At 38.7% G+C, this 20,237-nt stretch overlaps 1 protein-coding gene across 19 annotated transcripts in view; it reads right to left on the reverse strand.

Annotated features, from left to right (window-relative positions):
* NCKAP5 (NCK associated protein 5) overlaps positions 1–20,237 on the reverse strand; it is a 1,003,049-nt gene that overhangs the window by 319,556 nt on the left and 663,256 nt on the right. For all 19 annotated transcript variants that reach the window (XM_017003975.3, XM_011511100.4, XM_047444134.1 and 16 more), the window contains one exon: positions 2,809–2,896. In XM_017003975.3, coding sequence (XP_016859464.1) covers positions 2,809–2,896 — 88 coding nt within the window. The remainder of the gene's footprint in view (positions 1–2,808; positions 2,897–20,237) is intronic.

A 20,237-nucleotide genomic window follows, 5' to 3' on the forward strand; every position in this document is an offset into this window, starting at 1 on the left:
TGAAATCATGCAAATTCCCCAATTAAAAAAAGGTCAGGAATGGCAAAGCTGGTAAATTGTAAACCTCTGATTACCACATAGTGGGACCGTCTCAGTTGCTGAACAGAAAACACCCATTGTCCTTTGAGAGAATCCATGTTGAATTATGCAAGCTATAAATTACACAAGCAACAAATTATGAAAGGCCTTTGGGAACACACCCCCTGAACAAAATATGACTACCTTTAATGCATGCAAAGCAATTAGCAGGGGCCTGGAACACAGAAAGCTATTACTCTGCTATTATTATATTAGCTCAATGATAAAAGACTCAGAACAAACACTGCTACCGCAGTGGAAAATGAAAGTAACTCCAGCTTTCCCAGGGGCCTAAGCTTTACGTGGGCCTCTGGCTCCTTTCAGAGAAATCTTGCAAGTTGGAAAATCTGAGACAGGTGTGCTAATGACACCCCATATTATGAAGCAATAAATTTCCCAGCTCTTGCCTGAAACGCAGAATTTGGCCGCAGGGAGGTGTTAACTATGTGCTCCACTAGTATCACCACGCATACATCATGCATAAACTATTTTGCCGCTATTAGCCTTATTTAGAAAAATAGAATTTGTGAGATGAAGGGGATCTCCCTGGGACTTGGCGCCACCCAGCATCACCTGCCCTTCTCTCTTTTCTCGTTTCTTGAATGCCCAGGGCACAAGGCTGTCCCTAGTGCATATGAGAAGTTCAGTAAGTGTTTGTTAAATGCACAGTGACCTTTACAGTTCATGTAACCCACCTCCCTTTCCCATTTTACAGATAAGGAGCCTGAGGCCAATTAAAGGAATGACTGAAATATCCCTATCATGTGACATTAATTCAAGTTAATGACTGTCTTCTCCCTACAGGGAAGAGTTCATTTCCCAAAACGAATAGACTGGGTTATGGAGAGGTAATAGTTTTAAAACACGTTTCTTAAAGCATATCTGTTTTTCTAAGCAGCTTTCCGTTTCGCAAAATGAATGCTGCTGATGATGTTAAGTGTCTACACCACAGATGTGGCTAATAATTGTTTAAGAGCTCAGAAGAGAATAAGCAAAAGAAAATATGAATCTGAATGAAAGAGATCCACCATGAAGAAATCAGATGTAGCCTAAGAATGATGCCTGATTATTTAGTTTTAATGAAGCCAGGTGTTACATGTGATGGGGAACAAATAATTTACTTCACAGATTCATATGACCCTTTCAGGCTGCATCGAACCATTCAATGCAGAATCGAGTCGCATTTTTTACTTACACCTCAACTTTGTACCAAAGCAGTTATAATATCTATGAAGAATTCAGAGCTAGGAGGACTAAAATTTTTTCCCTTTCTTTAGGTGGCCACATATCAGGAAACGCTGAGCATGCATTCCCTTTGTCAAGACCACCCTCTCAAGAAGAATCTAAGCCCTTTCCCTAGAAATTGATCTTAGTGATTTTTCCACTGTCTCTATGAAGCTAACTTTAATTTCTTCTGAGGTAGCTTAAGTCAACTCTTTGCATTATATTCACTGCACATGGGAAAGAATTCTTACTACCTTCTTGAAGTAGCCCTGTGTAGATTTCAAGGGTCAACAATTTAGGATACAGCCTCGCCTCTTAAGGTTAACTGTGGCCAGATTTCTTAACTTACTTTGATACTTTTACTTGTATTAACATATTCCTCCCAATCCCTTTTCACAACCAGTTGGGTTGCAGAGCCCACAAATTCAGGTAAGCTAATGCCACATTATGCTAATCAGCTGGGTTCCTATGCTTGCTTTCTCAAACCCACTGGCTTTTTAGCCAGCAAAAACCTAGGGCTGCCCAGTGATGACCTCACATTTCCACCAATGTCCTTGCTTTTTAAAGCTTTTCATACATAGTTGTGCAGTGGATGCTGGGTCTCTATTTGTGATTTGAAGTGATTTTCAGTAGAAGTCCTAAATTTATCTATATACAGTGTCTGTGCTGTTTCTATTGTATTTCCCTTTTCCACCATACCACAGCCTTCTCATCTGTACAGGCAATCTGGACCATACTCAGATTAGATGTCCTGCTTCCTGGCCTGGCAGCTTTGCTGGTGTTAAAGGACAGTGGGATAAGGGCTATCAGAAGAAGACAAAGACCTGTTATTTCACTGACTGCTTACTCTCTTTGGACCTCTTTAGACTCCTTGTTGCCTGAGATGCAAGGCCAGACCCAGGAGGACTGCATACACCCCAGACCCCATCCAGCTCTTCCCTGTACTCTCAGTCTCACTGTAACTTTTTATTTCCAGGACATTACTTAATTATCTGGAGATGCTTATTCTCCACAAGCCTGCTGTGAAGATTCACACCACTGCACTTTACCTAGGTGTCCCTTCTACCTGGAATGCCCTTCATGGAGTTCTCTATTCCACAGGCCCACCTTAAATGTCACACCTCTGGCAAGTATTTATTCCTCACCTCCTCAGCCAAGATGAGGCATTCTCTCTCCTGTGCTCCCAGAGAATGTTGTACACACCTCTCTTTTAGTCCTGGCCACAGAGTACTGCAATGCCTATACAAGTCTCTCTCATTCACCACAAACTTATTTTTTGCATCTTCTAGAATCAAATCTACACTCTGTTTCACAGTAGGAGTTTATGAAATGAATGAATTGAATAAACGTGTATGATTCCTCAAAACAGAGGTGACTAGGTGGCTTTTAGCACTGGGGTCTGGAACACACCTTTTATTTATCTCTGGGTTAGAGAGGACAAACCTAGAGAAATACAAGAAAAACAAGCAGACCAGTACCCAGCCAAGAATAATAAACATGGTGTACCTGATAGACCATTATATTAACAGTTTCTTCTTTTTTCTGCTCTGGAGATCCTTGACTCTGCAATAGATTTCGTACTGTTTCTTCCATCCTGAGAAACAAAAATATTAAGAATTTCTTAAAGAAGGTTTCTAATTAACACGGATCCACTCGAGTTGTAGAAATCACTCTTCTATGCGTATTTCCCAAGCTTCAACCTGGAAATCTCTTTTCTCTCTACTTCATCTTCTATCAGTTATCTGTCATGAAGTCCTTTGCAACCATTCTTTGGGATGCCTCTACATTCTCTTTCTCTACCATTCAGGTCTGCCTCTTTATACTTGGACATCTAAACTCATGCACCTATCTCCCAATATCCCTCTTCATTTCCAATCACTTCTTTTTAATTTGATACAGTATCACTACATCAATCTTCCCAAAAAACCACTTTCATTTTTAAACACCAATTTTCAAAGTTAACACATATTATAGGAATGCACTCTTCCCATTAATCTACTGTCAGGTCTTTCTGTGATGGTCTTTCTATGACAGCACGTAAAGATTTACTTCATTCTTCTCAACTACAGTCATGCATTGCTTCATAACAGGAATACGTTCTGAGAAATGTTGAAATGCATCATTAGGTGATTTTGTCATTTTGCAAACAGCATAGAGTGTACTTATATAAACCCAGATGGGATAGCCTACTACACAACTAGGCTATATTGTATTACCTATTGCTCCTAGGCTACAAACCTGTATAACATGTTAATGTCCTGAGCACTGTAGAAAAATTATAAAACAATAATATTTGTGTATCTAAACATACCTAAATGTAGAAAAGGTACAGGAAAAATACCATATAAAAGACTTAAAATGGTGCACCTGTATAGGCCACTTGCCACGAATGGAGCTCACAGGACTGGAAGTTGCTCTGGGTGAGTCAGTGAGTGAGGAGTGAGTGAATGTGAAGGCCAGGACACTACTGTACACTGTGAACACTGTACACTCTAAACACTGCAAACTTACACTGCACTAAATCTATAAAAAATATTTTTCTTTCTTCAATAATAAACCTTAGCTTACTATAATTTTTACTTTATAAACTTTTAAATTTTTAAAAAACTCGATGCTTGTAATGACATTTATCTTAAAACATAAACATGTATAAGTTATATAAAATATTTTCTGTATGTCCTTAGTATATAAGTTTTTAAAAATTGTTTTAAAAAACATTTTTTGGCTGGGCACGGTGGCTCATACCTGTGATCTCAGCACTTTGGGAGGCTGAGGTGGGTGGGTCACCTGAGGTCAGGAGTTTGAAACTAGCCTGACCAATATGGTGAAACCCCATCTCCACTAAAAATACAAAAATTAGCTGGGTGTGGTGGCAAACTCTTGTAATCCCAGCTACTCGGGAGGCTGAGACAGGAGAATCGCTTGAACCTGGAAGGCAGAGGTTGCAGTGAGCCAGGATCACACCACCGCACTCCAGCCTGGGCGACAGAGACTCTATCTGAAAACAAACAAACAAACAAACAAACAAACAAACAAAAAACATTTTTGTCTGGGCACGGTGGGTCACCCCTATAATCCCAACATTTTGGGAGGCTGACGTGAGTGGATCACCTGAGGTCATGAGTTCAAGAGCAGCCTGGCCAACATAATGAAAACCCATCTTTACTAAAAATACAAAAATTAGCCGGGTGTGGTGGCAGGTGCCTGTAATCCAGCTACTCCGGAGGCTGAGGCACAAGAATCGTTTGAACCCGGGAGGCAGAGGTTGCAGTGAGCTGAGATCGTGCCACTGCACTCCAGCCTGGGCAACAAGAACAAAACTCTGTCTCAAAAAAAAAATTTTTTTTACATTATTTTATTAAAAACTAAGGCACAAACAAACACATTAGACTAGGCCTACGCAGGGTCAGGATCATCAGGATGTCACCGGCCAACAGGAATTTTTCAGCTCCATTATAGTTTTAAGACACCACAGTTTTGCATCCAGTCCACAGTTGACCAAATATCATTATGTGGCACATGAATGTGCTTCCTAGTATGTCATGTTGAGAATGTAAGTTACTTAAGATTCCCCTACTTATGAAATTTAAATTACTTCAAAATTTTTGTTATTCCAAACAATCAACATCTTTACACATACCTCTTTATACACATGTGTATTTCTACAAATTATATACTACATGTTATAATCTTGTTTTGTTTTAAATGTATACCTCCAGTGATTCCCCATTAGCTCAAAGTAAAGAGTAAAGGAAACACACCCATTCCCATTTCCAGACATTTGCTTATGCTGGTGATACTTCTTAGAATGCCCCCTCCATTTCATCTTCCTATATTTCAACCCTCTTTTCAAATTTACCTTAAGTTTCACTTCCTAAGATAACTCCTCATTGATCTCCTGCTTCTTTGAATTCTTATAGCCCTATACTTCAAACCATTTACTCTATCACTTAAAAATCCTTCACTTTAATGCTCAAATATTTTGTATATGCAGGTCTTATCTTCTGGAATAAATGACAACATTTGGTATAGGACTATGCCATATATTTCTAATGTATCTCTCTCAACTGTAGATAAAATACATACTCACTAGACATTATTGTATGAATCCTTTGCTAATTCATTTTTTAAAGTGTGAAGTAGTTACTCTATGCCAGACACTCATCCTGTATGTTCAGACTGTGTCTGGATGACCTTGTCATTGGGGCCCACCATGAAGATTCATAGACCCAAACTCTGGGAGCAAGAAGCCTGAACTCAATGCCCTGAACACGATGCTCTCTGTCCAGAACCTGAACTGGTTATCTTTTCCAGGCCCATCTTGAAGCATGTATTTGAGTGACTCAGTATGACACTGGTTGAAGAGAACTGTGAAGAAAAGCAGGCTGATCCAGCTTCTCCCTCTTACTAAGGGCTTCTCGTATGACAAATTAAGGGCTCTAGGAGACCAGTGAATCCGCTGATGTAGGAAGCCCATTGCAGTAGGCAGGATAAGACAGTTCAAAATGCCACCTTTCTAATATGGCACGTAACTACTCAGCAGCAGAGTGAGGAAACTGCAGACAACTGGGACAGGCCAGACCTAGATTATTAATTGGAGAAATTCTGCCTTTACAGAGGATGGCACAAGGACTCATTTGGGTTTTCAGGAAGATGGTGGGCGCTGGTTACGAGTACTCTAAAAATGATTTGTGACCACACATTTATACAAGCCACCTCTGCATGTATCCAGCTGAGAAAGCAGAAGCTGTTCCCTATATTTTCACAAATCTTATGTTATTAATAATAACTCAATCTAATAGTACTTTTAACTTGACAAAGAACTGTCTCATCTGTTCATCATTATAATTTACTTTTAAAAAATCATTCTATCTATTTGGTAGATGAGAAACCTAAGGTACAGAAAGGTTAGATGGTTTGCTTAAGAGATCATGGTTAGTTGGATAGGGAGTTTGGATGAAATCATTTTTACTGACTCTAAATACAGCAGCCTCTTTCTACTTGACCTTATTGGTATTCAGGAAAATGGTTTTAAATGAGTAAGAGTCTTAACTCCTAACTAGGAGTTACCTTGGAGAACAACTTTGGTGGATGAACCCAAGAAGGCAACAATACCATTTCTGACCTGGGGAGAGCATGAGAAAAACTAAGCTTATGTGAAAAAAAAAAATCGGTGCAAAGAAGTCACAAATTCTGAAATAATAAGTGATCAGAACCCATTGCTAATACTTGATTTCATTTTATATAAACAAGCTCTTGAGTGGTATCAGATTTTCCATCATGTTTGCCGAACTATCATAAACAAGGAAGTAATGACAATGGTCCTAAGACTTGCCCAAGATCACTCAGCTTGTTCCTGGCAGGTAAAGGCCTGGTATCCTGGTTTTCTAAATATTAGTCTACTTTCTTCCCACCTTAGCACAGAAGCTGGATGTCTTCTTTTAATCCTTATTGCATTCATTTTTAAACATCTGACTTAAAAGTGGCCAAATAGTTAGAACTCGGTTAAAATGAAATCATATTATTTTTTACTAAGTTAAAACACAATCTTGTCTCAATGCATATCTTGCTAAATTATCTCTTCTGTAAAATTACAAGCTATAAACACAAGTTGCTGGATCAAAAAGAAAAATATCTATTCACCTTTCCCCCATTTTTCTTGGCTTTATACTTAAAAAATAGGAAAAAGTGGGGGTGGACAGGAAATTGTTAAAACAATCTTGAGCAGTTCAGAACCCTTAGTAATATGGTAAACACTCTTCTGGCACTACTTTATGATTAATCAAAACCAATTACATTTCCCACCCAAGTCTTGGAACAGAGTCACAGGGCCCCATCCTAACCCTTGGTAAAAAATCAAGTTGTCCTATCTTTTTATAACCTCTATGAATCATGTCACAGAGAAAATGTTATAAACCTGATAAGAATATGCCATTATTTACTCCCTGATGACATCTTTTTTTAAAAATTCTTATTTAACAAACTTCTCTATTTTCCCAAAAATCAAAAATCAAAGACTAAAGCATCTTCCATTGTTGTTTGACGCCCAATTACATTTTGCTTCATTTTATTATTTCGACGGCTAATGAATGAAAGTTTGCATTACTAGCCAGCACATAGTACAGTTCCACCATCTGTCTCCCCAATATGATTAAGAAATAAGCCAATTCCTCCCTCTCCCTCTGGTTCAGGCTTGGGCAGAGTTTTGTGTGTTTTGTTTGTTTGTTTATTAAATAGCTGGTTGCAATTTATCCTTAAACACTCACCTTAATTCATGTCTTCTAGCTCTCCATCTCCTTCCCCCACCTGAAACTAAGACCATTTTTTCCCCTAAATATTGGTCAAGTAGCTGCCATAACTAAAAATATAGAAACCAAAATTATACTTAATGAGTTGTAATAAATTCTAACGTACATCAAGTGAACTATTTTTAAAAAGTTAACTCCTAGGACAGCCAGAGGAAACAAACTAAATACATATATGCAAACAGTATGTCTCAGGTAACATTAGGTATAAATGCAGGCATTTTATTTTATTAAAATAGATTCCATTTTTTAAGGTACACACTATGTAATCAATAAATTCTTATTACACTGTTTCCTCTGGGAGAAGCAAAAACCTTGCTTAAGAAGGGCACTAAGTTAAAATTAGGGAAATTGCATATTAAAACTAATGCATGAGAAGAGTAACAATTCAAAAGCACCAAAGAGCAGGATCAGTGAGCCATTTTAACTAAATTCTCTCCCAGTTCCCAGGGGACCACCTTTGTCATTGACCTCCTTTTAAAATACGGACCACTGGGGTACTTGTCACTGGATCTGTTTCCAGTGTCTCAAGAGCTGGTCCGTCTAGACACCAAAGGAAGATCTTTCTGAAAGAAAATGTTAAAACACAGTGGTTTTCTGAACTCTTTCATGGTAAGACAACACTTGATAATATCAAAGGCCTTCTTTGTAATCAGAGACTATGGATTGGACTTTGAAGACCTGGACTTATTCAATAATGAAAGCAGTGTTGGAAAATATGGCTCCAAGCTACATTAGAAGCTGATTATTCCAACATGTAAATGACTGTGGGCTTTTTCACATGCTTTCCCTCCAACCCCAACCCAAAATCTAGCCCTCTGTTTTGATTAATGACACTCTAGGGACTGATCCAATTATTACACCAAATTGTTCTTTTTCACCCCTATATTCAGTTATTTAGTTGAGACTAACTTCATTTTTGACAGAAATAAAAAAGAACAGAAAACAAGAAGCCACTCAAGAAGTTATTCTCCCCAACTCACACTGATAACTGATAGGGTTCATTCAATTGAAGGCTGAACCAAATTAAATTTTGTTTTTAGAAAATATTTTAACATGTTTACTTGCTGATTAATCAAATACCTACTTAATAATGAAATTAACCATGAAATTATTCAATATTCCTTAATATTCTTTTAGTCAGGTGAGAGGGTGCAAGAAGTGCCCGCCACATTCCCTTTGATTCCCCCATGCCATGAAGTTTGTCAAGAGCTGCTGCTGAAACTTGCAAATTGCTTTTCTTTGTGTTTCATTGTATTTGACTCCCAAACTTCTCACTTTGAGAAATTGTGTCGATTTAAGAAAGGGTCCCACCATGACTGAACTTCATTTAATGACAGGAAGAAAGAGGCTGCAGTTAAATTAGAAAGAGGCAGGGGGAATGGGGTCCTTGAAGCATCCCTCCCTTACCCTAGGCTTCCCTCCTAGGAAACCTGACACAACACAGCCCCATGTAGAGAACAATGCTCATCTTCTAGAGCCAATGGCAACAAAGAGGACCAGCATACTTCCCATATTGGCTGGAAAAGAAGGAATACTTGCAATAAAATACTAGCTCCCTCATATTGGATGCCTATGTAGTAGGGTTAAATATCAACACATACTTCACTTTGGATGTTCAAGACAAACAAAATTCATTTATTTGTATATAACCAAACTAGTCGTTGCTTGAACCTCCACAATATGACTAGCATTAATTACTGTCCAAAACCCTAGTTTAAATCCTAACCCTAGTCTCTTATGATGGATTTCTAAAATTTTTAAATTTTTTAATTTTAAAAATTCAAAACAGGTGTCCATCAACATACAACTATCCTATGCATTTCCTGCAGTGGAATATATACCAGCAATCAAAAGGAGTAACTGATGTATGCAGCAACATTGAAGAATCTCACAAACTATGCTAAGTTAAAGAAGCCACACACAAAAGACAAAATACTGTATGATTTCATTTATACAAAGTTCTAGTATAGGCAAAATTAGTCTATGGTGGAAAATTTAAGAATAGCAATTGCCTTGGGTGGTGGCAGGGATTGACTGGTAAGGATATAAAGGAACTTCCTGGGATAAGAGTAATGTTCTGTAACTCTATAGGGATTTGGACTGCACAGGTTATATGCATTTGTTGGAATTCAGCCAATGTTACATTTAAGATTTATGTATTTCATTGTATGTAAATTTTATCAAAAAAAGAGAACTGTAAACACATATGGAACTCCAGTTATTGATATATATGTACACCTTGGGAATATGCCTTTGACTTACTTTTTTTTTTTTTTTTTTTGAGACAGGGTCTCACTCTGTCACCCAGGCTGGAAGGTTGCAGTGGTGCAATCTCGACTCACTGCAACCTTTGCTTCCCAGGCTCAAGTGATTGTCCAGCCTCAGCCTCCAGATAGCTGGAACTAAAGACACGAGCCCTCAATGCCTGGCTAAATTTTGTATTTTTCGGAGAGACAGGGTTTTGCCATGTTTCCCAGACTGGCCTCGAACTCCTGAGCTTCATGCCTCAGCCTCCCAAAGTGCTGGGATTACAGTAGACTTACTTTGAAATGCATCAAAAATATTTCATTTCAATTATTTAAAAATGCATACATTGAGGTTCCATGAGAATAAGGAACTCATTCAAGATGATACTCCCAGTAATAGTAGAGCTGGTATTGGAACTGTTTGACTCCAAACTTGTAATCTTTTTCTACTGTGCCACATCAGCATTCACTCAAATATTTAAACCACCCTGGCATTTACTTGGCTGGGTATCAACATTTTCTGCTATACTGTTATCACGTGGTAACATCTGGATTGATGGGTTCTCGTTACTTGCAAATGCTGCACAGTTAAGCCCTCCGTATCTGTGAGTTCTGCATCTGTGGATTTGACCAGTTGTACACTGAAAATATTCAGGAAAAAAAAACTGCACAAAGTTCCAAAAAGCAAACCTTGAATTTGCCATGCACTGAGTACTACATTGAATCCACATGAATGAAGTGTAGGCGTCGTATTAGGTATTAAAAGTAATCTTGAGATGATTCAAAGTATACAGGATGATGTGTGTAGATTATATGAAAATATGGTATTATACCATTTTATATAAGAAAGCTGAGCATCCCCAGATTCTGGTATCTGACGAGGGGTCCTGGAATCGATCCCCCATGGAAACTGAGGGATGACTGTTTTTGCATTAGTCAATCTTTTCTCCCAATCAGATCAAAATTCTTCTAGATCCAGGCTTTATGCACAGTGATACAGTAGTCTTCTTAGCCATGGGGGATATGTTCCAAGATCCCCCCAGTGAATGCCTAAAACCCTGGATACTACAAAGCTCTATGTATACTTTCCTTTTCCTGTACATGCATGTCTATGATAAAGTTTAATGTACAAATTAGGCACACTAAGAAATCAACAATAACAACTAATAATCAAATAGAATAATTATGACAACACACTGTAATAAAAGTTATGTAAATGTGGTCTCTCCCTCTCTCTCAAAATATCTTATTGTACGGTCCTCACCAATTTTTAACTGGTTGAACTTCAGGTAACTAAAACTGTAGAAAGTGAAACCTCAGAAAAGGGGAAACTATTGTGCATTATAACAACTGTTATTTACCTGTTGAAGCATTTAAGACCAGCTATTCATGGAAATATATGTCCTGCCCACTGGGTACTCTCAATTCCACCGAAATGCCACAGAAAACACAGAGCCAAGCCTTGACCCGTCCCTTGCCTAAGGAAACCCTCCCTTCATGTTTTCTTAACACTCTGAGCTCTCCTCCTGAGGTCACTGACTCCTCCTTGTTGTTTATGCTATCCATAGGAACTATGCAAAGCTTAGTTATTGGGTAGATATTTGATAAATTCTTTGTGGAGTGAATGATTGAACCTAATGGATTTTTTACCCTTGTTCATTCCCTGCATCTTTACATTTTCACTTCCCATAGACCTATGTATGCATGCGACTAGTCAGAGAAGTAGATACAGTGAGAAATGCCAGCAAGACTGAAGGGGCTATGTCTTCACATGCAGCTAAGATGCAAGTCCGCTGGTCAGATGTAAAACAAACCAAATATCTAACTGTTCTTTTTGTTACGTTGAATGTCTGTATGCTTCAACTCAGCTAATTAGCTATGGTGTTTAGAACATTACCTTAATGAGGAAAGGTTCTAGATTCAATCCCTAACTTACCACTGTCGGCTCCTGGCAGACTAATCTCTGCCAAGACAGCCCACTGCTCTCCTACTTGGGAGAGAGAGGATAGGACAATTACCTTAATGAAGAACATATTTTGCATTGCCTCCCATATAATTTGCTTTTAAGTTTCTATTTCTCATTCTAATTCCATTGCCTTCCTCAACAAACTATCCTACCTTCCCATTTTAATTGCAATGCAAAGCTTCCCTCAGGTTTGTGAGTCTAAAGGAAAGCTGACTAATTTTCAATTCCAAGAGCAAATTGTTCATGTGGAAAATGTTGGTTTAGAACTGGGTTCTGCCCAACTGCGCCACTTGTTTTCTTAGAAATGAGAATTTCCTCCCTTAGAAGCTAGGACATCTAAGCACGTAAGCAGGAACAATCCCCAGGTTGGTTGTCACTTGGATGCTCTTAACCCAATCTCTGCTTATCCTCGCTGCAATAGTTAGGAACAGTAAATCTACAGTGAACATAACTGAAAACTGCACTGAAACAGAAACTTACTCTGGATAAATGTTGGAGGACTGGAGTTTCTTACTTCTTTCCTAGATGATATATATTTTTAATTCAGCACAAATTTTGCAAGAATAACAGCACTGCACAGAAACCACAGCACTCTAATTCACTCATGAGGATGCAAGAGCATTCATAAACAGATCGAAAGATGCTAGTCCAATTTGAATTACTGCATCATATTCACTCCAGGGCCATCTCTATGTGAAGAGAAAGTGACATAAATTTTCTCCTAGGCAGGCTTGCACTGATCCTGCTTGGGGAGCTAACTGCACGGAGAGAGGCCGATTGGGAGAGGGCAGGGAAGCAGAGATGGGCACTCAGAGAAGTCCCGTTTTGCACATGGAGTAGAAGGAACTCCCCTGAATGTTAGCAAACAAATCTCAAGTGTTTTTGCTCAACAGTGGCAGAATACAAAATTGCATTTATGGATTCATGTGTTTGTAGAGTTCACACTCATCCACAAAGAGAGGGGGAGGGAGAAAGAATATCTCACATGTGCAAGTAAATGCCACAAAGGAGAAATACACCTCACTGGCTTTTACTTGCCTGGTTAACAGTTTGAAATCAGGATTGACACTATATCCAGATAATGCACAACAGGTCTACAAAATGGGTTATTTCCCTAAATACAGCCAGGTTTTAAATTAATGTAATAATTATAATTATTTATCAGGGGAACCAGCCTGCAATATTTCAATGTAGGTTCTTTTCTATTTTCCCTAAGTGTTGGCCGCTCTGAGAAATAAAGAGAAAGAGTACAAAGAGAGAAATTTTACAGCTGGGCCTCTGGGGGTGGGCATCACATGTCGACAGGTTCCATGATGCCCACCTGAGCTGCAAAACCAGCAAGTTTTTATTAGGGATTTCAAAAGGGGAGGGGTGTACGAATAGGGAGTGGGTCACAGAGATCACATGCTTCATAGGGCAATAAAAGATCACAAGGCAAACGGCAGAGCAAGATCTCAAGGCAAGGGTGAAATTAGAATTAATGATGAGGTTCCATGTCCCACTGGGCACGTATTGTCATTGATAAACCTCTTAACAGGAAACAGGGTTTGAGAGTAGACAACCGGTATGGCTAGAATTCGCCAGGCTGGAATTTCCTAAACCTAGCAAGCCTGAGGGCACTGCAGGAGACCAGGGCATATTTCACCCCTTATCTTCAACCGCATAAGAGAGACACTCCCAGAGCAGCCATTTTAGAGACCTCCCCCTGGGAATGCATTCCTTTCTCAGGGTTATTCCTTGCTGGGAAAATAATTTAGCAATATTTCTCCTATTCCCTTTCTGCAAGAAGAGAAATATGATTCTGTTCTGCCCAGCCCCGCAGGCAGTCAGACCTTATGGTTATCTCCCTTGTTCCCTGAAAATCACTGTTATCCTGTTCTTTTCTAGGATGCCCAGATTTCATATTGTTCAAACACACGTTTTACAAACAATTTTTGCAGTTAACACAATCATCACAGGGTCCTGAGGCAACATACATCCTCAGCTTACGAAGATGATGGGATTAAGAGATTAAAGACAGGCATAGGAAATTATAAGAGTATTGATTGGGGAAGTGATAAATGTCCATGAAATCTTCAAAATTTATGTTCAGAGATTGCCATAAAGACAGGTGTAAAAAATTATTAAAGTATTAATTTGGGGAACTGATAAATGTTCATGAAATCTTCACAATTTATGTTCTTCTGCCTCTGCTTCAGCTGGTCCCTCCATTCAGGGTCCCTGATCCCGCAACAATTATTAATGTGATTAATTTTATTAATACATAGTCAATAGTTAATATCATTTCCCATGTTCAGTCTCATGAGCTCATCTACTCAACTTCAGAACCTATCCTTGTCAAATGTGTCCTTAAAAAGGTCTTCAAAATAATAAAATTCCACAAATACATGGAGCATTAGGTCTGCTTTTTATTTTCTTGAGTAATCTGAAGCACAAACATTCTCTGATACCACGCAAAAAGGACTCTGAATTGCCAAGACAGCTACTTTAAAAATAAATCTATTATTTTGGGGATAGATCTTTACAGCTTAGAGTTCAAATCTTGGGAGACCTTGAAGACAACAGATGGCTGAATTTATTATTGGCCCCCATATTTATCTTTATTGGCCACTGTGTTTAGGAATAATGAAAATAATTTATAGTGAGGATACACCTTAAATTCTAATTAGAGGCCGTTCTCTTCTAGAAAACTAATGTAATAACAACCTGGAGCCTCTTTTCCCCCATTTGATAAAGATTAGTATTTTACAATTTTACCTTGGTGAAAGAAAAATAAAATATGGCCTGGACAATCAAAATTTCTTCTCTTGGCTGGGCATGGTGGCTCACACTAGTAATCCCAGCACTTTGGGAGGCTGAGGCAGGAGGTTCACTTGAGCTCAGGAGTTCAGGACCAGCCTGAGCAATATGATGAAATTCTGTCTCTACAAAAAATAAAAAAAAATTATCTGGGTGTGGTGGCAAAGGCCTGTAGTCCCAGCTACTTGGGAGGCTGAGGTGGGAGGATTGCTTGGACTCAGGAGGTCGAGGTTGCAGTGAGCCGAGATTACACTACTGCACTCCAGCCCGGGTGACAGAGTGAGACTCTGTCTCAAAGAAAAAGAAAAACAAACAGAAACAAACAAACAAACAAAAAAAGATTTCTTCTCTTAATATGCACCATGCTTTTAAAAGTTTGAATCTAATGTTAGGTATGCCAAATGTAGCTCACTTTGCATTTCACATAAGTTAATATTTCTCCACAGTTGTAACTGGCTCTTCATCAGATGGTTACAATCCCTAGAACACTTACTAAACAGGCCACATGCTGTCTGTCATGTTTCAAGATCTGTATGGGAGTTTGACTCAGAGAAAATTAAGAATTGAATGACTTGACTAAACTTGATTCTCACTGGCAAACTCACTCTAAATCTGATTCCCATTTTCTACATCTCACACAGTTTTTATTTTATTTTATTTTATTTTTTTTTTGACACATGTTTAGTCATTAAAGCTTGGAGAGGTCAAACTAACAGTCACACTGGATCTGAATAATGTCCAAAGCAGCACAGTAAGTAGCCGGTGTTAATCTGTTGCTAATTTTTTTGATGGAGGTGTAAAAGAAAGGCAAGAAAATCTAATTGGCTGTATTTGGGATAAAATTATAGTGTTATATTTTCTGGACAAGAAGATGGAACAGTGGCAAAGAGATGCTTTAAGAATCCACAGTACTGGCCCATCTAGCCGTATGGATGCCAACAGCACATTCTTCACTGGGCCTGCTATTTAATTTGCATGCTTCTTGTGACACTTGTTCCATGATATTTCAGAGTAGCTTCTCTTAAAGAAGCAGATATTGTAAACCACAGCACATCCAGAAAAGTCGCTCTACCAAATCCTCTTTCAGCCTCAACTCTTGGGGCCATAATATGGTCAGTGTAACCTCAGGCCCTGTGCTCCCTAAGGGGCGTAGGTGGAGCTCAGCGGAGGCCCTCTCACCACTATGCAACTTAGGACAGATCACATTTCCTGAGCCTCAGTTACCTGTAAAATGAATACATCCTCCCAGTCCTACTTACTTCAGAGAGATGTTATGAGGATGCAATAAGACAAAATAAAAAATGCTATATATGTTGATACTTGTTTTTATTATGGTTTTAAAGATCCAGGCTATCTGAATTGTAAACCTTTTGGTGCTGATGTGAGAAGGGCAGAAAATTGGCTTCTTGGAAGCCCCATCCAATCAAGTTAACACTTTATGAAGGCCCCTACCTGCTTTGTCTCTTTTTGAGAAAGTTCAAGGGGTAAAGCACCTCTCTCCAAGTTTCAGCTAGTAATTGGTTTAGAGAATAATCTATTATACTAGTTGGGATAGGCTAGGTTATGCTGGAGTAACAACCCCAACCTCTCAGTGACTGACTTACTGAATTTCTTATTGACATAAAGTCTGGGCAACTTCGGGTCTGAGCAGCAGGGTAGTCACTTTTCTTCCATGGGTAGGGGGTCTATGTCCTGGTTTCCCAGGACAGTTCAGCTCAAGCTTACTGTCCTGGCAAATTATTAACAACACCCCTTTCAGTCCAAAAATCGTCCTGGTTTGGATGATAAAGATTATAATCTTCATATCAATGGAATGACTCAAATATTTAGCCTGCCCCACTCTCTCAATATGAAGTTTTCTCTATGGACAGGAAAAGATAAACTGGAGAATGTAGTATGGATTTTCACTGCCTCATTCAACAGCTGTCACTTCAGTTTAAGGGCCACTGGCCAGGACTAGTCACATGGCCCAACTCACTGCTAGGGTAGCTGGTAAACTTAGTCTTCTGAGTGCCCAGCAAAGAGAAGAGAACCAGATATTGGTGCTAATATGCTGTCTTCTATGTGTGCATTGTGAGGACTGAAGATATATATGGGACTACTACTCAGTGACTGGCAGCCCAGCCTCGCTAACTTTTCAATTGTGTCCAGGTGACTCAGGGCCGAAATTCAAGCAGGGCAAGTAAGTGTTGCTCTTGGTGGCCTTTTCCCATTGGGTGTTACTTTTTTCCTCCGTTGGTTGACTGAGCTGTCACTATTGAGGCTCTTCTCTCACCTCCCAGCTAGATATTGATTGTCACTCTCCTTTCCCTCATGCCAAATTGATCGCCAGCCTACACAATTACTTTCCCTGAGATCTCTGAATTGTCCACATATGCATTCCCTCTGGTCCGGAAATCTTCAGACAGACACCTTCAAAGTCTGTTTTGCTTTGAAAAATACACTATCAAGCCTTCAGTAAGACAGTTAATAGACATGTTTTTGATGCAGGCTATTTTATAGCAAATATCTATAAACATGGAAAAGCAGCCTGTACTTGCAAAAAACTTTATAACCTTCCAAGATTCACTGGCAAGGAAAATGGAAGAGGTGATTTCTGTCCTGGTTTCTTGTAGTGTTGGTAAAAGGATACTTCTAATGTTTCACTACTTTTACCCAATATTTATTGTTTAAAATACGCAACTTAAGACACCTCAACAAGTAGCATGCTTGATCTTTAGGAACACTGGAGTATGAAAGTCTGTCTAGATATTTAATAGGTCAAACTAAAAACTGGGGGAAAAAAAGTCAATTTAAAAGGCTGCCTCTATGTTAGATTGAAAACAAAACAAAACAAAACAAAAATGAACCCTGAGAGTAATATAATTTACACTGGGGTCTCATGAATGTGGATTTTGCCAATCATCAAAATCATCTGGTATTTGGATAGAAATTTTTCTGCCAGCAGCTATGAGAAAAATGAGATTCCTTCTCTTCTCCCCTTGCCTATCCAAACATCATGCATCCTCCAGGTTCCAGCTTAAGTCCCATCTCCTGTATTCCTGACAATTGTGGCCCACTGGAGTGTCTCCTTAGTCCTGAAATATGTTTTCCCTGGAACATTTGCAGGAAGACACTGAGGACTCTTGCTAAAAGTCTAGATTCCTAGGTCTACTTGAGACCTAGTAAATCCAAATATCTGAGAGTAGAGGCCAGGAATCTGTGTTTTAAATAAGAATATTCTTGGACATGAACTATGAGAAACTCCATTCTAATGTTCTCCTAACTTATTCATAGACTACCCTGGCATGGTTACATACGAACAAAATGATTTCATGTATGGGTTTCTTAGTTAACAACTATTCTATAAGCTCATTAGGGACTCTTATGCATATCTCAAGTTTTTTCCTACTACCCACATCGCACAGTTGGTTAACTGTTTATCTTGTGTAGATGGAAATTCCCTAAATTAAGGAGCTATATATTGATTTACCTCATTTGAGGCGTATTAGATGCTGAAAAATAAAAGGAAAAGATGAATCTAATTTTACTTCCAATGCTGGAAAGCTTAAAAATAACACCTTATGTAATATGAATAATTGTTTCCTGATGTATTCATTCATTCATGTATCCCCTCATCCATTTATCTGTTCCTCTATTTGATAATCATCTGTTGAATGCCTATGATAGGCTTTGTGTGGTAATGAGTAACTTGAATGAAGAAAAACTGCCAACTGTAGGAGACGGGCAGACCCACAATGACCCCACAATGTATTAATGTATTAAGAGCCAGAAGAGGATGCCAGGGGCATGAAGAGAGTTGAGCATCAACAGAGGCTCTCTGGGCCGGGCGCAGTGGCTCAAGCCTGTAATCCTAGCACTTTGGGAGGCCGAGGTGGGTGGATCGTGAGGTCAGGAGTTCGAGACCATCCTGGCCAACATGGTGAAACCCTGTCTCTATTAAAAATACAAAAAAAATTAGCAGGGCGTGGTGGCGGGTGCCTGTAGTCCCAGCTACTCAGGAGGCTGAGGCAGGAGAATGGCGTGAACCCGGGAGGCAGAGCTTGCAGTGAGCCGAGATGGTGCCACTGCACTCCAGCCTGGGGGACAGAGCCAGATTCTGTCTCAAAAAAAAAAAATAAATAAATAAAAAAAACAAACAGAGGCTCTCTGGAGATGCTGATGTACTGAAGTTTTGAAAAATAAGTTGGACTTAGCTTGATGGAAAGGGAATTTTCAAACATAACTAATGATCTTATTCGCAAATTTTAAATTGCTTATTATGATTTTCTTCATAAGAAATATGCTTTAGGTATGTGTAAAATAGTCTCTCTCTACTGAAAGTAAGAGCGCTTCATTTTAGTTTGGTATACATGCTGGCATTTTAATCAAACACAAAGCATTATAGATCATTGTCAGCCCACCTACTTAAGGTTCTTCCAATGGAATTACATGCACTTAAAGTTATGTTCACTGCTACATACATCCTACATCTCAATATCAACCAGGCCTCAAGATAATGCTCCTCCAATGTGTACATATGCATATTTGCAGCCCCTGTCTCATTATAATCCATGTATTTGTGCATGTATTCCCAACATTTTTGGGTGCTCAGGTTTCCTTTAGTGTTTGGAATATGTTCTTCTTGACCTTGGATGTCTATAAGGATATAAAGAATAACCACATCAGAATATCTGTTGCTAAGAAAGAACTGCTATGATAAAACCAATACCAATAACCACAACATTCCCCAACCACAAGATTGACATTAAACAATAGTCAAGTGTCTTCAAGTATTTTTTATCATGGAATACAAGCTTTTATACAGCACTTTTATTGTACATTCCTGATTAATGAAAAGGATTTTGGAAATACATTAACTTTAGGCCAAAATAGTGTCCATTTATTCTTAAATTGTCAATGGTACAAAAAAGAAAAAAGCAAGGATACTTGAGGGGAAAGGGCAGAGAATCTATATACTGAAACTAATTTTTAAAAAAATGTCTTTGATATTTAAAAGCAATAGAAAAAGAAGCACAATTCTCAGATAATAGTATAAAATAAAAAATAAGGAAAATTAAGCATTGATAAACACCAAATTCCCAAGTGATAGGATTTTTAAGATGTAAAGAATGAGTGATAATATACTACATTGATTAAGCTGCTACAGAATACCATGACACTATGCACAGATACACACAACATTATTTTCTATCTTAAAGCTGTGCTGCGGGATTTTTAGATCCAGGATTGTAAGTTTTTCCCCCCATCTCACTACACAAACATGAGAAACTGTGCAGACCTTTGCTTTCTTTCCATCCACAGAATTTTACTGTAATATTGATAAAGACAATAGTACCTACGCTATACAGATGTTAAAAATCAAGTAATAAGCAAGATAACCTGATTCCAGTTATCACTGCCTCCCTCAAAACAAAGGACTGCGCTGAAAGAAGAGCAGATTTAATTGTAAAGTGCAAAGACTTGCCCCAGATTGGAAAAGAGAGGGAAAGGGCCTGTTTTGCAGCAACCAGTTAGAACACGGTCCCCTAGGACTTAATTATCTATATCTTGTTAGGCTATAATAGGGGCTTAAAATGATATTGCAGGTTTTCTGCAACCAAGAAACTGATTAGT

The sequence above is a fragment of the Homo sapiens genome, chromosome 2, assembly GCF_000001405.40.
Source record: "Homo sapiens chromosome 2, GRCh38.p14 Primary Assembly".
Classification (NCBI taxonomy): domain Eukaryota; kingdom Metazoa; phylum Chordata; class Mammalia; order Primates; family Hominidae; genus Homo; species Homo sapiens.